This window comes from Homo sapiens, chromosome 20 (genome assembly GCF_000001405.40).
Source record: "Homo sapiens chromosome 20, GRCh38.p14 Primary Assembly".
NCBI lineage: Eukaryota > Metazoa > Chordata > Mammalia > Primates > Hominidae > Homo > Homo sapiens.
In genome coordinates, this window is record NC_000020.11 from 2,172,885 (window position 1) to 2,192,707 (window position 19,823).

The 19,823-nt window shown below is 44.2% G+C and overlaps 1 long non-coding RNA gene across 1 annotated transcript; it reads left to right on the plus strand.

Moving 5' to 3' along the window:
* Positions 1-290: 290 nt before the first annotated feature.
* On the plus strand, positions 291-4,154 carry LOC124904859 (uncharacterized). The gene is made up of 2 exons (XR_007067500.1): positions 291-526; positions 3,892-4,154. It is a non-coding gene; the product is annotated as an uncharacterized LOC124904859 (long non-coding RNA).
* The last annotated feature ends 15,669 nt before the right edge of the window (positions 4,155-19,823 follow it).

Sequence of the window (19,823 nt, forward strand, 5' to 3'; positions counted from 1 at the left end):
GCTGTATGTTCTTACCAGGTGCGGAGGAAGGAAGGAAGGAAGGGAGGGAGGGGAGGGGAGGGGAGGGGAGGAAACTGACGCAGGTAAGAGCATTCACCTCTTTCCCTCTCCAAGGCTCAGTTTCAGGATCATTGTCACAGGTCTGACACGAATCATGTGCAATAATTTTTTGTACATTCATAGGTTTGGAACACGGTATAAAGGGCCTTGAATGCCAGAATGAAGCCTTGGGTTTTATCCTGCAGTCGTTGGGAGCCACTAAGAGTTTCTGAGCAAGAGAGGGACAGGATCCGAACTGTGCTTTGGAAAGATGAACCAGCCGGTGTGCATTCATGCATTCACTCATTCGTTCATTCATTCATTCATCTGACCAAAATGTGCTTTAAACATCTTTTGCATGCCGGGCCCTGGGAATGCAGCAGTGACCAGAGGTGCTGTTGGACTTCATGGAGCTCATGGCCTCGAGTGACATGTGTGGGAGTGGACATTTGGACACAGAGGAGGCATCACCCCAGTCCTAGGCAAGGTGAGCCCTGGGGCAACATAAGGCTCACATAGGCGCCTTAGCTTCTGCCCTGTATGTAGACAGAGCAGGGTGGGAGTCAACTAAGCCACTGATTTAAGTACAGACCCTGGGACAGGGGCAAGCCTGTTGGTCCTCAGCTCCCATCCTAGGTCATGAGAGGCCAACTTGACCAACGCAGGAGGTGTATCTGTTCATTCCCCTCCCCAATCAAATAGATGCAAATAACATGCAAGAGGTCCGAATTTAAAGTATGTTAGTGTTAAATAAATGTATTATGGTCTGCCTGGCGCAATTATAGTCAAACTCAACATGTAGGATGTGACCCACATGAAATACTGAACCGATTTTAGTATCAGACAGCATACTCACTTTGGAGACGAGAAGAGGCAGAGGCCCAGGGACACACCATATGGAGAGATGCACACACGGGCAGGTGTTCATGAATTTACTGCATTCAGGAGGTGAGAAGAAAAAAGAGACAGATTTCATTTTCAGCTCTGGCTGGAGTTACGGTCCTTCCTTTGAAGGAACATGGATGAGGAGCTAGAAGTCCTAGGTACTAGTCCCCACCACAGCCACTTGGTAGCTGTGTCAATTCTAACTGGCCACTGTATTCTCATCTGTACAATGGGTCCAATGACAGGGAAGCATGAAGGAGACCATGGAGGTGTCTTAGGTTGGGATCTCCAGAAGTTGACCCTGAACCAAGGATTCCTGTGAAAATGACTTACTGTGTGTGAAGTATTTCCAGGAACAGCTAGAGGAAGGGGAAGCAGGCAGGGCCAGCAAGACCATGCCCCACCAGGTCTGTCCTGCAAAGGAGGTGGCATAAGTCATACCTCAGAGTTGGCCCATTTGGGGGGCAAGGGAGCTGGGGTATTCATACTCCTGTGCTCATTGGTAATTAGAGGGAGTAAATTCCCCTCTGGAGGACATACCTTTCCAGGCACTTCCAGCTCTCCATACGTACAGGCAAAGCTGGGTCGAGCAGGCTACGAACTGTCCTCTGAAAGACACAGGTGCTGGCTGCTGGGAGTGAGAGCATCCTGGGAGCTGCTGTACACAGTATGGGACCCAAGGGATGGTCTACTGTAGGACGGGAAGTGCTTTGTAAACTGTGAAGTGTGGTACTGGGATTGAGGAGGGTCCTCATCTGGGACTTCCTGCAGCTCACTGATCCGTCTCAGCCAAGTTGTCTTTCCTCGTGGGTCTATTTCTTCCTGGGCAATTGAAGGCAACAACACACACGGATTGTCATGGGTGGAGGGGTGTGGTGAAATGGTAACTACTCTGGTGGTGAGGCTGTGGAGAGGCGTGCACCTTTATGCACTGCTGGTGGGAGTGTAAATTGGCGTAACGTTCTATGGAAGGCAATGTGGCAATGTCTATCAAATTACAAATTCACAAATCCTTCAACCCAGCAATTGTATTTATAGGATTTTGTCCTACAATAGATACTCACACACATGAAACAACATGACAAGCTTATCCGCTGCAACTCTGTAATTGCAAATAAATTAAAACAATTATTGAATAAATTATATACACTCATGAAATGGAATATCCTACAACAATAATAACAATAAAAAGGAGAATGAGGAAGTGGCCTCTGTATTGTTACTGGATGATCTCCAAGCCCCATAGTTAAGTTACAAAAAAGCAAGATAAAGAACTACATATGATATTTCTTTAACAAATTCTTCTATAGCCAAGTATTGTCTTAGGTGCTTTACAAATATGAATCCACTTAGTCCTCCTGACACTCCTGAGATAAATATTATTATGTCCATTTTACAGATGTGAAAACTGAGGCACACAGGTTAAGTAATTTTTTAAAAAACAGGTGTGCACCACCATGCCTAGCTAATTAAAAAACATATATATATATATTTTGTACATATGGGATCTTGCTATGTTGCCAGAGCAGGTCTTGAACTCCTGGGCTTAAGCCGTCCTCCTGCCTTGGCCTCCCAAAGTGTTGGAATTACAGGCGTGAGCCACCACACCCAGCAGGTTTAGTAATTAGATGAAGGTCAGGAAGCTAGTAAATGGCAAAACTAGGATTTGAAGAGGAAGGGGCTCCAGGAGCTGTGTTTTTTGTTTCAGCTTTATTATTATTATTATTATTTTGAAAGTTTTGGGGGAACAGGTGGTATTTGGTTACATGAAGAAGTTCTTTAGTTGTGATTTCTGAGATTTTGGTGCACCCATCACCCGAGCAGCGTATACTGTACCCAGTGGTTAGTCGTTTGTCCCTCACCCCTCCCACCCTTCCCCGAGTCCCCATAGTCCATTGTATCATTCTTATCCCTTTCTGTCCTCACAGCTTAGCCCCCACTTATCAGTGAGAAGATACAATGTTTGGTTTTCCATTCCTGAGTTGCTTTACTTACAATAATGGTATCCAGCTCCATCCAGGTTGCTGCAAAGGACCTGTGCCTTTGTGTTACTAGGTTGTATTTCCTCTCTGTAGCTGAAGATTACTCCTAACTAATCATAACTCCATTTCCCAGTGATTGGTTTGGCAGTGATTGGTTTGAGGAGGGAACACAGCCCAATTCTGGCCAATGAGATATGAGGGGATGTCTGCTAGGGAACTTCCAGGCAAGATTTTCTCACTGATGAAAAGGGATGTCCGGGGAGTCCATCTCCTCTGCTTCTTGAAGTCATGGTGAAGCTGTGGATGGAGCAGCCACCTAGTGATTGGGAGAGTCCAAGCCTGAAGTCAGAGGCCCACACACTGAGGATGGAGGAATGGGAAGACAGGCATAACCTGGGACCCTATAGTCATTGGGCCACTGAGATAACCAACCCTGGGCGTCTTGATTTGTGTGATGATAGACATCTTTACTGCTTAAGGCAGTGGATCTCAAACTGGAGTGGGCATTAACATCACCTGTTAAAGCACAGGTGGTTGAACTCCACCCCCAGAATTTCTGATTCAGTAGGTAAAGCCAAGAACTGGCCTTTCTAACAAGGTGATGCTGATGCCAGCTGGTCTGGGAACCACACTTGGAAAACCATCAGTATAAAGCATTTTAAGTTAGAGTTTTCGTTCATTAACAAAGGAAGCGGCCAGGCATGGTAGAGCTCACCTGTAATTTACATGCAGCTGCTCTGGAGGCCGAGGCAGAAGGATTGCTTGAGCCCAGGAGTTTGAAGCCAGCTTGGGCAACATAGAGAGACCCCCATCTTTAATTATGTAAAAAGCCAGAGGCATCCTGTGACCTTGAGTGACGTGCCTTTCAAATCCTCTGGAGTAAGGGGTGCCAGGGGTTGGGAGTCAGAGCCCCAGAGCAGGGGCCAGGAGCCCAGGGTTCTCCAACCCTCCTTGTGACCTTGTGCAATTCATTTCTTCTCTGCAGGGTCTGCTCCCATCTGTCATGGGAAGGAGGTCAGATGAGACCACAGCTAACTTTCCTTCTGGCTCCAACACTCTGTGTTCCAGGATTCTCCAGAATGGAACAGTCTGACCTTGGGGATTCTAGCAGGATCAAGTCAGGTCCCCTTCATCATCCCCTCTCTCCCTCTCATGCCCCGGGAGGCTTCCACTCCTGCAGCATCAGGCACTGGGAGGCAGAGTCCAGCTCCACAGTCATTTTTAACATATTAAAGTTCTGGACAGAAAGCTCATTTGAAGCCTGTGTTTGTGCCGGGAGAAGAGAGGCCAGAGCCAAGCCTCTCCCCACGGGGGTTTCATCTCCCCCGGCTTGAGCAGAAATGTGTCGTCACAAGCAAGCATCCAAAAGGCACGGTGCCCACGCCTGCGGGACCACTCCACTCCCTAGGGGTTCTGAATATGAAGTCTAAACAGACTTTGGCAGTTTCTTCCTCTGTATTCAATCAGCCTCCGAGTACTCTCTTTCACCCCCTAAGTGTCATTCAAATCTGCCAGGCTCACTATCTCTTTGCCTCAGATTCTTGGAACAGGCTCAGACAGGTCTCGCTGCCACGGTCTTGCCCCCTGTGCCCTCCTGCCCCACTCTTAACACGTGATATGGCCTTTGGATAAAGTCTAGACTCCTGAGCATGGGAGACCCACAATGCCCTTCAGTGTGGCCCCTGCCACCTTCTCTGGCACCCCATACCCTCTGTGCTCCAACCGAACCAAAGTACTACAGTTTCTGGAACATACTGGGCTCCCTTTCATCTCTGAGCCTCTACACATGCTGTGTCTCCTTCATGGAACACAGAGCTCTGCAGCCTACCTGCCTTCATGCAGCACCCCCGGTCTCAGTGGGGATATCATTCCAGGCAGGACCAGATACATGATTTGTGGGACTTAGTGCAAAATGAAAAAGTTCAAAAATAATTAGGAATTTCAAGATGGCAACAGCAAAGCATTAAACCAAGTTTAGAGGCCGGCTGTGGTGGCGAATGCCTGTAATCCCAGCTACCCAGGAGGCTGAGGCAGGAGAATCGCTTGAACCCAGGAGGCGGAGGTTGCAGTGAGCCGAGATCACGCCACTGCACTCCAGCCTGGGTGACAGAGTGAGACTCCATCTCAAAAAAATAAAAATAAAAATAAAAAAATACACCAAGTTTAGGGCCCTTCCAAGGGCAGGGCCTGACCACACAGGTCACATGCCCACAAAGCCAGCCCTGCTCCAGGCTATCACCCCAGAGTGTCCACTGGGGCCTCCTCTGTGCCCCCACAGCCCTCTGTGTGTCATTATCTCAGTACTGATGGCCTGCAGTGGGTTTGTCTATTTTTCTCCTCCCACTAGACGATGAGTACCAGGGGGTAGGACTCCCTTCTGTCTTGTTCCAGGTATGTCCTGGATGCCTGGCATAGAGCTGGCAAAGTAGGCACTTCAGAACTATTTGTTGAATTGCCATTCAGTGTGTAAACAATCTGTTCAACAAATGTTTTTCCAGAGCCTCTGATGTGCCAGGCACAATCCTAGGTACTTGGACTACATCAGTGGACCAGAGTCCCTCGCTCCTAAGCGTGTACATTCCAGCAGGGAAGACACACAGTGCACGCTTTGCAGTGGGTTCTCTCAGAAGCAGGCCCTGAGTTAGGATTTGAGCATAAGTAGATTGTTTGAGAGAGACAGGAAGCACCTGGTTCTCAGGCCTTCAGACTCAGATTGGAACTAACCACGCCACCAGTTTTCCTGGGCCTCCTCCAGCTTGCAAACAGCAGATAGCGGGACTTGTCCGCCTCCATAATCACGTGAGCCAATCCCTCGTAATAAATCATTTTCTATCTATGTCTATGTGTAGATATCCCTTTGCTTCTGTTTCTCTGGAGAACATTGATGACTACACGGCTGGCGACTCACCTGCGGAGCGAGGGGAATGGTGGTATCTATCCAGCACCTTTTGTTCTTTAGTGGCCAAGGGCTGCTCCCAGGGCCCTCAGCTCCTGGGCACTTCTGGGCTGGCCCGTGCAGGCTGAGCAGCTCCTGCAGCTGGAGGAAGTCCTCAGGCAGAGTCAGTGGTGCTGCCGTGAGCAGCTATGAGCGGAGAGAAGGGTGGAAGGGCCCTGAGGGATGCAGGAGTGCCAGAAATACACTAAAAATGAAGTGGGTCCTAGTGAGAGCTGTAAGTGGAGCACAGTGAAGGGGGCTGGGTGTGCATGTGGAGAGAGGTCTCAGAATGCACTTGACCTGGAACTGACCTCTCAGACCTCAGTCCACCCACAGGTCTTGGCAGCAGCCGGTGCCCCCGACACTCAGTCCCTAACCTACCTGCACTCCTGCCCCACCTCAGCCCTTGGTCTCATGCCATGGTATTTTCCTTTTAGCCTTTAATTCTAGCCATAAATTACAATTTCACAGACACCAATGGCATGAGAGATGAGGACCCAGATTGCCAGAGACTTTTAATTTGCTGTCAACAGTCCCTCCACTGGCCCTGCCAATCTAGGAGAGCTCCATCTACCCCTCCCTCGGGCCTGATGACCTGGAGCAGCCTCCTACTGTCCCGATGTGGAGGAGGGTGCTAACCGCGGTGATGTCAGCGGAGCCTCAGCTTCCACAGAGGGTACGCATGCCTGGGACACAGAGACCGGCTGCCCCAGTGAAATCACATTTGTCTTGATTTTGCCTTGATCTGCAGCCCTCGCATAAAAACAGGATTCTGAGGTTCAGCACAGCTGATGCACAAGGCCGGGTTCTAATTTGCTTCTGTGAGGACTGAGTCGCCCACTTTGAGCCGGAACAGCCCCCCTCCCACTGCCCCACACAATCACTTGCAAAAGGAGAATGATGCACGCTCACCTGGACAGTACGTAGCACACATACCTGATTGTTTCCTAAGTCTTTTCACATCTATGATCTTGTTTGCCCCCCAAACCAGCCTACGGCTTTAGTGGAAGAAGTGTTGATATTCCTGTCTCAGAAATCAGGAAACAGACATTCAGGCCATTAAGACAAGGTTGCCCAGCTAGTAAGTGTTGGGTAAGTCTAGAACCCAAATTTCCTAAGCCTTTATTCAATGCCTTCTCCATGACACCAAGCTGTGTCTGCCTTCCACGAGCCCTCTAGTAGGGATAAGATCTTGGAGAAGCAGTTTTTAAATATTTTTTAATTGAAATATAACATAGATCATAAACATACAGCTCTATGAATTTCACAGAATGAACATACCCATATATCCAGCATCCAACATCCAGGCCAAGAAACAGACCATGTCCTCCAGAAGCTTGGCCACCACCCATCACTATTCATGGGCAAGTACTTTTACTTCCAGTTTTGCCTTTTAGCCACATCTTTATCCCCAGGGTATAACCCTTCAAGAATTTCCATTCTTGGTGGGGGAAGAGCAAAACCGTTTCTGAGTGGACATAGTTTAATGATCAAAGCTCTAGGCTGCGAGTCAGGAGGCTGAGTTCTCTTGTGACTTGGCTCCAAACTCACTGTGTGACTCTGGGCATGTCATCTGTCTTCCCTGGACCTCAGTTTCCCCATCAAAAAAACCTCAGTGATTTCCTCCGGCCTCTCTGCTTAGAACTGGAGCTGGAACCCCTCTTTGTGGGCCTGAAGTTTTAGTTTCCTATGGGACCCCAGCTTTCTGCAGCAGCTGACGGCCTAAGCACAGTCCATACTGACCCCTAGTAACTGGCCTGTATGGTCTCTGTGGGGCTGGGCGCAGCATATGCTTGTCCCCTTTGGAAGTTGCTAATAGAAGTCCCTAATGGGTGTGTGTTCTGTTTAGGATGAGAACGGCTAATGCCTTTTTGGAATGGACCAGTCCCCCATAATTGCCAATACCTGTAAACTTTTCCTGAGTGCTTACTGTATCCTAGGAACTCTGCTAAGGGCTCTACGTACATATCTCGTTTCATCTCCCAACACTCTGATGAATAGATATTATTCTTATCTCTTGTGTATAAGCTAGGGACCCCTTTGCAAGTAAAAGAGTGCCTTCTTTAAAACAGGACATTTAACTGTATAATCATATAATGAAGTCTGAAGGAGGCCTGTTCTACGTTGTTGCAACAGCTCAAGAAAGGTGTCATCTCTGGCCAGACTTTTTCTGTTTTTCTACTAACCATCCTTGTCTGTTGTGCTAGATTGCAAATGGCCCCATCAAAACATAGAGTCTATTTCTCCACCTTCTGAACCCAGGCTGGCTATGTGACTGTCTTTGATCAGTAGAATGCAATGGAAGTGAGAGTGTAAATGTTCTAAGCCTGGGCCTCCACTCTTGTCCTCTTGAGGTGTTGCTGCCGTGTGAACAAGCCTGGGTCAACCTCCACCTCACGGAGGGAGACTCAGCCATTCCATTGGACACCCCAGACATAAAAAGAATCCCAGGCAATACCATGTGGAGCAGAGATAAGTCATCCCAACTGAATCCAGCCCAAATTTCTGACCCACAGAATCCTAAGCAATAAATGTTATTTTAAGCGACTACATTTCAGAATATTTTGTTTGCAAAAGCTAGCTGATACAGCTGTGTTGGCTTTTTGTCCTCAGGTTTGTTGTCTGTCTCATGGTTGCAAAATAGCTGCTGTCATTTCATAAAACCAAAGTCAAAGAAGGAAGAAGGGGATGGATTAAAAAGGAAGTGTTTTCTTGCAATGCTCCTCAATTTTATCAGGAATAATTTTTTTTTTTTGAGACTGAGTCTTGCTCTGTCACCCAAGCTGGAGTGCAGTGGTGCCAATTCAGCTCACTGCAGCCTCTGCCTCCTGGGGTTCAAGTGATTCTCCTGCTTCAGTCTCCAGAGTAGCTGGGACTACGGGCATGCACCACTTCACCCAGCTAATTTTTGTATTTTTTAAGTAGAGACGGGGTTTCACTATGTTGGCCAGGCTGGTCTCAAACTCCTGACCTCAAGTGATCCACTGGTCTCGGCCTCCCAAAGTGCTGGGGTTACAGGCCTGAGCCACCAGGCCCAGCCGAAATGAAATTCTTAATAGCCTGCATGCTCCCAGATAACTCACTGGAGCTTGGTTTTAAGCTCACTAGGCTGTCATATTTAAGCAATGTGACCCCATTCCTCCCTCCATAGCTGATTAGATCCTTGATCCTGGCTGAACCAATCTCTTTCCTGGGAATATTGATTTGGGACAAAGAGCTTAGTTTGGGTTGGTCTCTTGAATGCAGGAACTATTATATAAAAGCATTGCAGCTCTTGGTGGTTGCGGCAGAGACGCAGAGAAAGCCAGTTTGCATTGAAGGAAGGGTACAGCAGAATGAAGTGAGTGACAGTCTCTTGCAGGACTTCTGGGTCCCAGGTCTGGGCTCTACCTTTGTCCTTGGAGCATCAGGAAAAACAGCTGTGTCACTGTATACTTTCTTCCCTTAAGCTAAAGTTGGGTGGGGGTTGGGGGGCAAGGTCTCTGTTATTTGCAACAAAAAATCCTAACTCTTGTAATGGGATTCTCTAAGACTCAGGGTTGAAACTCAAAGGCAAATGGGCTCAAAGTCAGGCAGGTCCGGGTGCAGGGGGGACCTTCTCACACCTACCCCAGGATTTCTGAGAAATCTGGTGAGATGATGGGCATAGAAGCCTTGTGTGAGATTTTATATGAACTCATACTCATTTATACATGCTCACTGCACATAAAAAGAAGATGAAACTCTCCACCTCAGGATGTATATACATAAAGAAGGTCATGGTGAAGGAGAGGGTGTGATAAGACTTATGATTGGCTGAGCTTTGTCTCAGGTATCAAAGTCCCAAGACTTTATGATTGGCTGTTACTCATTTGCTTTCTTTTCTTTGGCTGAAGGAGCACAGGGTGGTGATAGTGGAGAGGATGGAGCAGAATGAGAGACATTGGAAGGGACTCAGTGTGGAACAGAAACACCACTTGGGAAAGCAGGTGCCCAAAGCTGGAACTGACATTGAAGGCATCAGCCATCTTCCTACCCAACCCTGGAAACTCAAGGATACCTTGAGGAAATCTTTAACAGCCGAGTGTTCTAGCCAATCATATTTAGATCTCAAGAGGCAAGGAGGCCCCAGCTCACACAGGGGTTGGATGAGAACATAGAAGATTGCAACTCGAAGCACTAATCCCTGAGTACAGCTGCAGCAGCATCTGAAGAAGGCTGAGGTAGACATACCCAGGAAGAGACATGAATCACAATTGCTCAAAGCTAGCTAAGGGTGGCCTTTTGACCCACTTCTGGCTAACGAAACGTAAGGAAAAGTCTGCCACGTTGGATGTAGGGTGAGGGTGGGGGTTCTCGAAGTGTTTTTTTCCCCCTTCTGTCTTGAACACAGGCACGATGGTTGGTGTGGTGGCAGCCATCTCTTTACCATGAGTGAAAGGTCAAGAGAATCAGAGTCATGTCTCCTAACATAGTTGAGCTGCTGAACCAAAACTAGCAGCCATCTGCCTCTGGCCTCTTATATTGGAAAAACGAACCTCTATTGGTTTAGAACCAATACAGTTAGCTTTTCTGTTTCTTGCATTGAACACATTTCTAACAGGTATAGAGGTGGATGAAGGAAAATGCTCCCAAAGGACTTGGTTTTACTCATGTTTGAGAATTAAAGACAAATTCACAGGACAATTTAATCAGATGCCTGGAATCACAGGCTGAGCTCTAGCCCCGGTAGAGAATAGAAAAGAACTGCCAAGTCTCATTACCGAAGGCACAAAACAGCCCTCCAGTGAAGCATCAAAGTTAATAGTGTATCTCAATCTCATCCACTGGCAAATCCAAGGCAGAAAAATGACTCCAGTGATGGATGCCACCACATCAGCTGTTAGCTTGCTATGGTTTTAGTCCCTTAATCACCAACAGCTTCAGGATCCCACTGGAGAGATGGGTGATCAAGCACGAGGTGAGACAGCTGAGAAGGGGTGCAATGCCTCTAGTTTGCAGGAACCAGAGTAGGCATTCATGGGCAAGAAGAATCCACCAAGAGCAGGTAACTACTGTCCCTATCTTATATGTATAAGAAAACAGACAAGATGAGAGTTTTAGGAGCTTTGTTTGTGTTTAAATTGATTATTCATCAAACACTTATTAAGTACCTGCTGTATACCAGGTCCTATGCTGGGTGTCAGGGAGATGCCCTGAGTTCAGTGAGGACAGTAAACTGTGAAAGCAAATAACTACAACATCAACCAAAGGGATCCTGGGAGTCTTGTCAGAGGAAGAAAATGCACTGGTGTCTTGGGGAGGGAAATAACTTGGACTCTGCGTTGCTGGTGGATGGGAAGAAGTGACTCAGTTCAGCTCCTCAATTACTTTTGGGACATGCATGATGTGAGCATACAAAACTAAAAGGAGAAAGAGGGAAAGAATGGGCTTAGCCATGAGGACAGGGACTCTGCTCCCGATTGGTCCCTAGCACCTATAACATGCTAAATGAACACACTGATTAGGCATGTACAGTACTGCAGAGGCACTATGCTGGGTACCTTAGGTATATGGGTGGAGGAGTTATTGCCATTTTTCGGAAGAGAACTGCGACCCAGAGAGGAGAAGTATTGATCAAGCCCTCACAGCGAGTGAGTGCTAAGTCAGGATTTGAACTAGTTTATGTCTAAATCCAAATCCAGGCTCAATCCGTTGCACTCTGCTGGATCCTTCTACTAGTCAGGACATGTTCAGAAAATTCAACTAAAATGGAATTAAACAGGAAAGGAGATTTATAGGACCATGTAACCAAAGAGCCTAGGTGTAGGTTCAGGTAAAGGTTGATGACATCAAATGGTGTCACCAGGGGCCCATTTCCTTTGGCTCTCACAGCATTGTATTGCTTCTTCCTCTGGCTCTACATTTGCACCATCATAAAATAGGCCTTGGTTCTCCTGGGCAGATGATGGTTCTCCTGTTCTAGACCTCGTATCGTCTACAGTATTGACTAAGGGAAGAGAAAAGGCATGCGTTGGTAGGCTTTATAGGGGGAAAAAAAACTTCACCTTTCCAGAAATCCTGGCATTTTCTTATATCTCATTGGCTCCAGTGAGTCATGGGCCCATCCCTGAAACATCAGTTTACGACTCCTGAGGATGACTTTTATACATGGATAAAACTATTTTTGATTACTTTAGATTTAATATTAAATGTATTAAGGTTAGAAATTATTAGTTCTAAGAAAATTCTAGTTCTTAAACTTTTAAATCCAGCTTATAAATCTTACTTTTTAACCTCTAGATCTAGTAAACTTTAATAACCAAGTTTAAGGAAGCCTTTGCAATTAACTTAAACATTTTTAACTGTATTAATAAATTTAATATAATTGGTTTTCTTTTTAGGTACTTTAATTATCTGACTAATAACCTGTTATTTATTTATTTATTTATTTATTTATTTATTTATTTATTTATTTTGAGATGGAGTCTCGCTTTGTCATCCAGGCTGGAATGCAGTGGCGCGATCTCAGCTCACTGCATCCTCTGCCTCCCGGGTTCAGTCCTGAGTAGCTGGGATTACAGGTACGTGCCACCACGCCCAGCTAATTTTTGTATTTTTTAGTAGAGATGGGGTTTCGCCTTGATTGGCCAGGCTGGTCTTGAACTCCTGACCTCAGGTGATCCACCCACCTTGGCCTCCCAGAGTGCTGGGATTACAGGCATGAGCCACCAGGCCCAGCCCAAAACCTTTTAGATATTTAAATAACGCTTGTAATATATTGACCCTTAAGCCTTCTTAAATGTACCAAATCAGTTTACACACTTAACAAAATTGCTTATACTTTTTAATGTAAAATCATAAATCTAAACCAATTACTCAATTACACATTTCAATTAAAATAATGAATTAATCTCTTAGATACTCCAATATGCCCCAAAATCTTAAATATTACAAGTACTAAAAAAATACTAGACATGAACAAATTATTTCTGAACCAAACATAAAAAATTCAAGTTGTGGATATGATTTATTCATTGTTTCTGTGAACAATACTAAAACATTTTGGAATTAGACTCTTCCCCACTTCAAAAACATTTACAGCATCCTTGGCAAGACAGTGTCCTTGTCACAGAGCAAAGCATACAGATAGACTTGTGAAAGATTGGGCTGTACCCAAAACATGATTCAGGGCTAAGCTGCTGTTGAGACATGCTGAAACGTACTTAGAGTTGCCACAACAGGGACCCCATAAATTCTACAGAGGTTGTAGCAAAGTAGTACTGAGGGGTAAGAGGCAATGCTTCAGTCACATAAGCTATTGTAGCCCATCATAAGGACTTTAGCCCTGAGTAAGAAGGGAAATCTTTGAGGATTTTGAGTAGAGAAGTGATATTCTCCTGATATTAAGGTTGGACATAAGGCCCAATTCTTACCAATGAGTTGTGAGAGGAATTGTGCCTGAAGGTTTCTGAGAAAGGTTTTTTCAATCTTAAAAAGAAATATGAGAAAGCAATCTCCTAACACACACTGTTTTATTTTACTCTAGATATTGTCTCATGAAGATATGATACCTGGAGCCATGGCAGTAGTTTTATGACTATGAGGAAGTTAGATGAAAACAATCTGACACTAAATACAACAAAGATGAAACTTTTAAAGAACAGCTTTATTGACATATAATTCACATACCATATGATAGACCTACTTCGATGGTTTTAAGTGTATTCACAAAGTTGTGCGACCATTACTCCAGACAATTTTAGAATATTTTCATCACTACGGAAATAATTTACCATTAACAGTAGCTTGCCACTTCCTCTCAACTTCCCCAACCCTAGGCAGCCATTAAATTGCTTTCTGTCTGCATAGATTTGCCTATTTTGAACATTTTGTATAATGGAATCATATGACATGTGGCCTTTTCTTGCTGGCTTCTTTCGCTTAGCATAATATTTTCAAGTTCATCCATGTTGAAGCTTATATCAGTATTTCATTCCTTTTTATTGCTAAATAAGATTCCATTGTATGGGTATATCACATTTTATTTATCCATTAATCACTTGATGGACTTTCAGGTTGTTCCCACTTATTTAGGATTCCAGGTTTATCTCTTAAATTGTTTTCTAAATTTCATTTTTAGATTGTTTGTTGCTGGCATATAGAAATACAATTGATTTTTGTATATTTACCTTGTATCCTGCATAGTTGCTGACTTGTTCATTTATTATAATAGTTTTGAGTGATTTTTAAAGGTTTTCTCTATACAAAATTATGTCATGTTTAGTAAAAATAGTTTTACTTCTTCCTCTCCAAGTTAAATGTCTGTATTTATTTTTCTTGCCTGTTTTTTCTGGTTATAACCTCCAGAATAGAAGTGGCAAATATCCTGCGTTAGTTTGCTAAGGATAAAACAAACACAAAAAACAACAAAAAAAGAAGTGGCAAATAGAAGTGTTGAGAATGGACATCTTTTTCTTGTTCTTGATCTTAAGGGGAAAGTATTCAGTTTTTCATCATTATGAATGATGGTAAATGTGGGTTTTTGATAGAGGCCCTTTATCAAGTTGAGAAAATTCTTTTGTGTTTCTAGCTTGTTGATGTTTTAAAATCATAGAAGTGTTGTATTTTCCCAAATGCTTTTCTGCCTCTGTTGAAATGACCATGTTGTTTTTCTCCTTTGTTCTATTAATATTGTATATTACATGAATTGATTTTTGGATGTTAAACCAGCCTTGCATTCCTGGGATAAATCCCACTTGGTTGTGGTTTATAATACTTTCTATATGTTGCTAGACTTGATTTACAGGAATTTTGTTGAAGATTATTGCATCTATATTTATGAGAGATATTGATCTGTAACTTTCTTGTAATGTCTTTGCCTGATTTTAGTATCAGGGTAATATTGGTTTCATAGGAGTTGGGAAGTGTTCTCTCTTTCTATATTTTTTTGAAGAGTTTGTGAGAGATTGATGTTAATTCTTCCTTAAACATTTGATAGAGTTTACCAAGCCATCTGAGCCAGAACTTTTCTTTGTGATAAGTTTTCTGATTCAGTATCTTTACTTGTTATAGATCTATCAGATTTTCTATTTTTTCTTGAGACGGTTTTGATGGTTGTTTCTTTTTAGGAGTCTGTGTGTTTCATCTAGTTTACCTAATTTGTTGGTATATAATTGTTAACAATATTCCTTTTTAGATTTTGTAATGTCCCCCCTTTGATTCCTCATTTTAGTAATGTGAGTTTTTCTCTCTCTTTTTTGTTTTTTGATCAATCTAGCTAAAAGTTTATCAATGCTGTTCATCTTTCCAAGAACTAGTTTGGGTTTTGTTGGGTTTTTCTCTATTGTTTTTCTGTCTATTTCACTTCTTTCTACTCTATATTTACTATTTCTTTCATTTAGCTTTAGTTTGCTCTTCTTTTTCTTGTTTCTTAAAGTGGAACATGGGGCTGTTGATTTGAGGTTTTTCTTCTTTTTGAATATACATGTTAACAGCTATAAATTTCAATCTGAGTGCTGCTTTAGAGTGTTTTGTTGCTTTTCCACATATTTATATAATTCTTTGCATGTCTCACAATTTTTTTTTTACCTTTCCTATGGTACTGAACAATTTTTTTGAAAAGTGGACATTTTAGATAATATGTTGTAGCAACTCTGAATACCAGTTCTCCATGCTCCCACAGATTTGTTGTTTGCTTGTTTATTTGGTTAGTAACTTTGCTAGAGCAATCCAGCACTCTTTCTATGTATTCAATATTTCTCCCAATATGAAAGGACAAGAGAAATAAAGCTTTCTTCCATAATAAATATTCTTTTTATATTTCAGGAAAGTCTATTTCCCTCACAGGGTGCAGCATCTGATGTTGTTCCTCAAAGAGCTCAGCCTTGGGCATGAGCACAGCCTCTCTAGGATGCCACTGGTTTTAGCAGGGCTCTCTTTGACTGTCTTTTTCCTTTATCTCTGTTATGCTGTCTGCCTCTGTTGGTATCATACCTAGATATTAGCTTCTACCAATTGATGGTTGATTGTTCTATTGTTTTTGACAGTGCTGTGAGGCAAAAATTGCTCTACAATAGGATTCTGTGATATTTGGGCCCCTTTACAGGGGTAGTCTTTAAGGCCAGTTTTTGAGTCTTGTTCTGATCCCAAAGAGCTTTTCTTAACTGTCTCTTTCCCTGATTATTCGTGTTAAACTACTAGATGGTTTAGGTTTAGCTTCTTTTTTTCAAGAAGCTACTTGTCTCCTCGTAATTTCTTACCACCAAAAGATCCATTGTTTAATTACCACCAGTTACCTCTCCTTGCCCCACATTCATATTTTGTTCATATCATTTGATTTGAACTTCCCTCTACACTCTGTTCACAATAAAGCCTGTTCCCCTAGGGGAGAACATTGAAGCTCTCTGTTCTGAAGGCCTCTCTCTCCCTCTAGACAAAATCTCTACACCACTGCTTCAGAGCTAGGGGTAAAGACAGCAGCCTCTTCCTCTTGCAGCAATATCCAGACTTTACAAGTAGTGTGCTTGTGGTGGTGGTTGTCTCTGGTCTGCTCAGTTTGCCTCTCTCAGTGCAGAACTTCTCCCTTATGAGCAACATGAAACGAGGGCAATCAGGGTCCCAGTATTCTCAGACTGACAAGTCTCGGGTAGAGCTCCTACCCTGTGAGTGAGCGGGGACTGGGTAGAGAAAGGAACTCCAGATCTCTCAGCTGCTCTTGCCTGGAATTTAGCTTCTACAACATAGAGCTAGGGGAATAAGTGTTTCTGGTAACCTGCAATATTCCTGCCCTCTGGGGGAAGAGGAAATCCTATGTTCTTGTCTGCACCCACCTGTGGCAGAGCTTCATCGTGCTGAGCTGGGGGAAGCGGAAAGGAACAGGCTATGGCTCAGATACCCCAGATGCATGCTATTCTTACCATGAAATGTTTCTTTATTTGCTATATGCCTTTCTTCTTCTTCTTTTTTTTTTTTTCCTAGAGTGAGTGATAGAGTGATGGAGTCTCACTCTGTCGCCCAGGCTGGAATGCAGTGGCATGATCTCGGCTCACTGCAACCTCCGCCTCCCAGGTTCAAGAGATTCTCCTGCCTCAGCCTCCCAAGTAGCTGAGATTACACAGGTGTGTGCCACCACACCCAGCTAATTTTTGTATTTTTAGTAGAGATGGGGTTTCACCATGTTGGTCAGTCTGGTCTCAAACTCTTGACCTCACGTAATCTGCCTGCCTCGGCCTCCCACAGTGCTGGGATTACAGGCATGAGCCACCGTGCCTGCTCTATTTGCTATATATCTTTAAGACAGTTTCCAGAGACTATAAATGCTTCTTTTTAAAAATAATTTTTACAAGGTACAGTTTTTTTCACCAGGGAAATATCTACACAGCTCCTCAGACGGCTATTCCAGAAATTGTTTCAAAGATGGGACTCAGATCTTTTAATTAGCCAACCCTGCCTACTGACTTCTTCAATTTCTTGTTATGTGAGGTTAAAAAAAATTCCTGACTGGGCACAGTGGCTCTCACCTGTAATCCCAGCACTTTGGGAGGCCGAGGCGGGTGGATTATGCGGTCAAGAAATCGAGACCATCCTGGCCAACATGGTGAAACCCTGTCTCTGCTAAAAATATAAATATTAGCCAGGCATGGTGGCATGCGCCTGTAGTCCCAGCTACTCGAGAGGCGGAGTGAGGAGAATCGCTTGAACCCGGGAGGCGGAGGTTGCAGTGAGCCAAGATTGTGCCATGCACTCCAGCCTGGCAACAGAGGGACACTCCATCTCAAAAAACAAACAGACAAACAAAACAAAACAAAACAAAACAAAACAAAAAATTAGCTGAGCATGGTGGTGGACGCCTGTAATCCTAGCTACTTGGGAGGCTGAGGCAGGAGAATCGCTTGAACCCAGGAGGTGGAGGTTGCAGTAAGCAGAAATCACACCACTGCACTCCAGCCTGAGTGACAGAGCGAGACTCTGTTTCAACAAAATAAGTAAGTAAATAAACATTAAAATTTTTTTTTAAAATCCTTATTGTACATTTCTGTTGCTCATGGCCAATAGCGTCCTGATTGATCCTAACTTAATGAGGACTGAACCAAGGCCAGCAGAGTTTTTTTCCATCTAGAAAGGTGACAGCAGGTAAGGCCTAGCCTAAAAGATATTCATTCACAACACCTGTGACACTTTAGTGCTCCATTTTTCTGTTTATTGGCATATCTCTTCTACTAGACTGTGGTCTCTTTAAGTCAAGATCACATGTCTATTTTGTCTTAGAATTTCCACTCTCCAGCACTGGGGCTGTTACTTAGTATACGTATAAAATATTGGCAAACTAATGAATAACTATTGTCAGGGTAGCTTAATTACTTTAGAGCTATTTGCCTTTTGGTCTGTCCCCACAAATGTCCTTGATTCATTTTGGTGCTTCGGACCGGGAACTGACCTACCCAACCGGTCCTATTTATCTCTGCTACCGAGAAGTCTGATAATGTAGGGCTTAGGGTTTGAATTTTGTCTCTGTTACTTTGCCTAAAAAGGTTGGGCACATGCTTTAACTTCTCTGTACTTCAGTTTTTCATCTGCTCAATAGCATAACAATACTAGTCAACATTAAATGTTATAATAATAGTAACAAACATTATTGAATGTATACTGTGAGTCAAACACTGTTCTAAACTCCTTACATGTATTATTAGCTGCTGTCAGCCTCACAGTTACCCTACAGGATAAGTACTACCATTAACTATCATTATCCTCATCTTTCTTTTTTTATTTTATTTTTGAGACAGAGTCCCACTCTGTCACCCAGGCGGGAGTGCAGTGGAGCAATCTCGGCTCATTGCAACCTCCACCTCCCAGGTTCAAGCAATTGTCCTGCCTCAGCCTCCCGAGTACCTGGGATTACAGGCATGCACCATCACGCCCAGCTAATTTTTTTATTTTTAGTAGAGACAGGGTTTCACCATGTTGGCCAGGCTGGTCTCCAACTCCTGACCTCAAGTCCTCCATCGGCTCAGCCTCCCAAAGTGCTGGGATTACAGGTGTGAGCACACGGCGCCCGGCCAATCCCCATTTTGCACAAAACAAAACTGAGGGATAGACAGGTTAAATAATTTCCCCAAGGATACACAGATAGTAAGTAATAAAGCCGGGATTTGCACCTAGGTGTTCCGTTCTAGAGTTCTTACCTACCATCTATAATATGTGTATATATGGCCCTCTGAGTTCAATATATGCATGCAAAATCGTTTGCCATAGATACCTTTTTAAAACAAAAATCTGATCATTTCACCCACCTACCATTGCCACCCCAGTTTAAAATGTATCAGTGGTTCTAATCCACTCTTAGGATCAAAGCAAAATCCCCTATTATGACTGATGAACCTCACCCATCCGGGCTCTCTCAGATCACCCCTCCCTGTTGCTGTCTCTGCTCCAGACACTCTAGCGTCCTTCTGCTCCCTCACACTACCAGGCTTCTCTATCTTGCCATAGGACCTTTCCATATACTGTTCACTCTGTCTAGAATGTTCTCCCCGTCATCCTTCCTCCTCTCCACTTTTTTTTTTTTTTTTTGAGACGGAGTCTCGCTCTGTCGCCCAGGCTGGAGTACAGTGGCGCGATCTCGGCTCACTGCAAGCTCCGCCTCCCGGGTTCACGCCATTCTCCTGCCTCAGCCTCCCGAGTAGCTGGGACTACAGGCGCCCGCCACCATGCCCGACTAATTTTTTTTTATTTTTAGTAGAGATGGGATTTCACCGTGTTAGCCAGGATGGTCTCGATCTCCTGACCTCGTGATCTTCCCGCCTCGGCCTCCCAAAGTGCTGGGATTACAGGCGTGAGCCACTGTGCCCGGCCCCACTCCTCTCCACTCTTAACTCCTGCTTATTCGTCACTTCCTTGGGGCAGCTCTCCCTATCTCCCCAAACCAGATCAAGTCCTTTCATTAGAGGGATTCAGGGCAGCAGTTACCTTTCCTTGCCCCACATTCACGATCCTTCCATTAGAGGGATTCGGGGCAGCAGTTA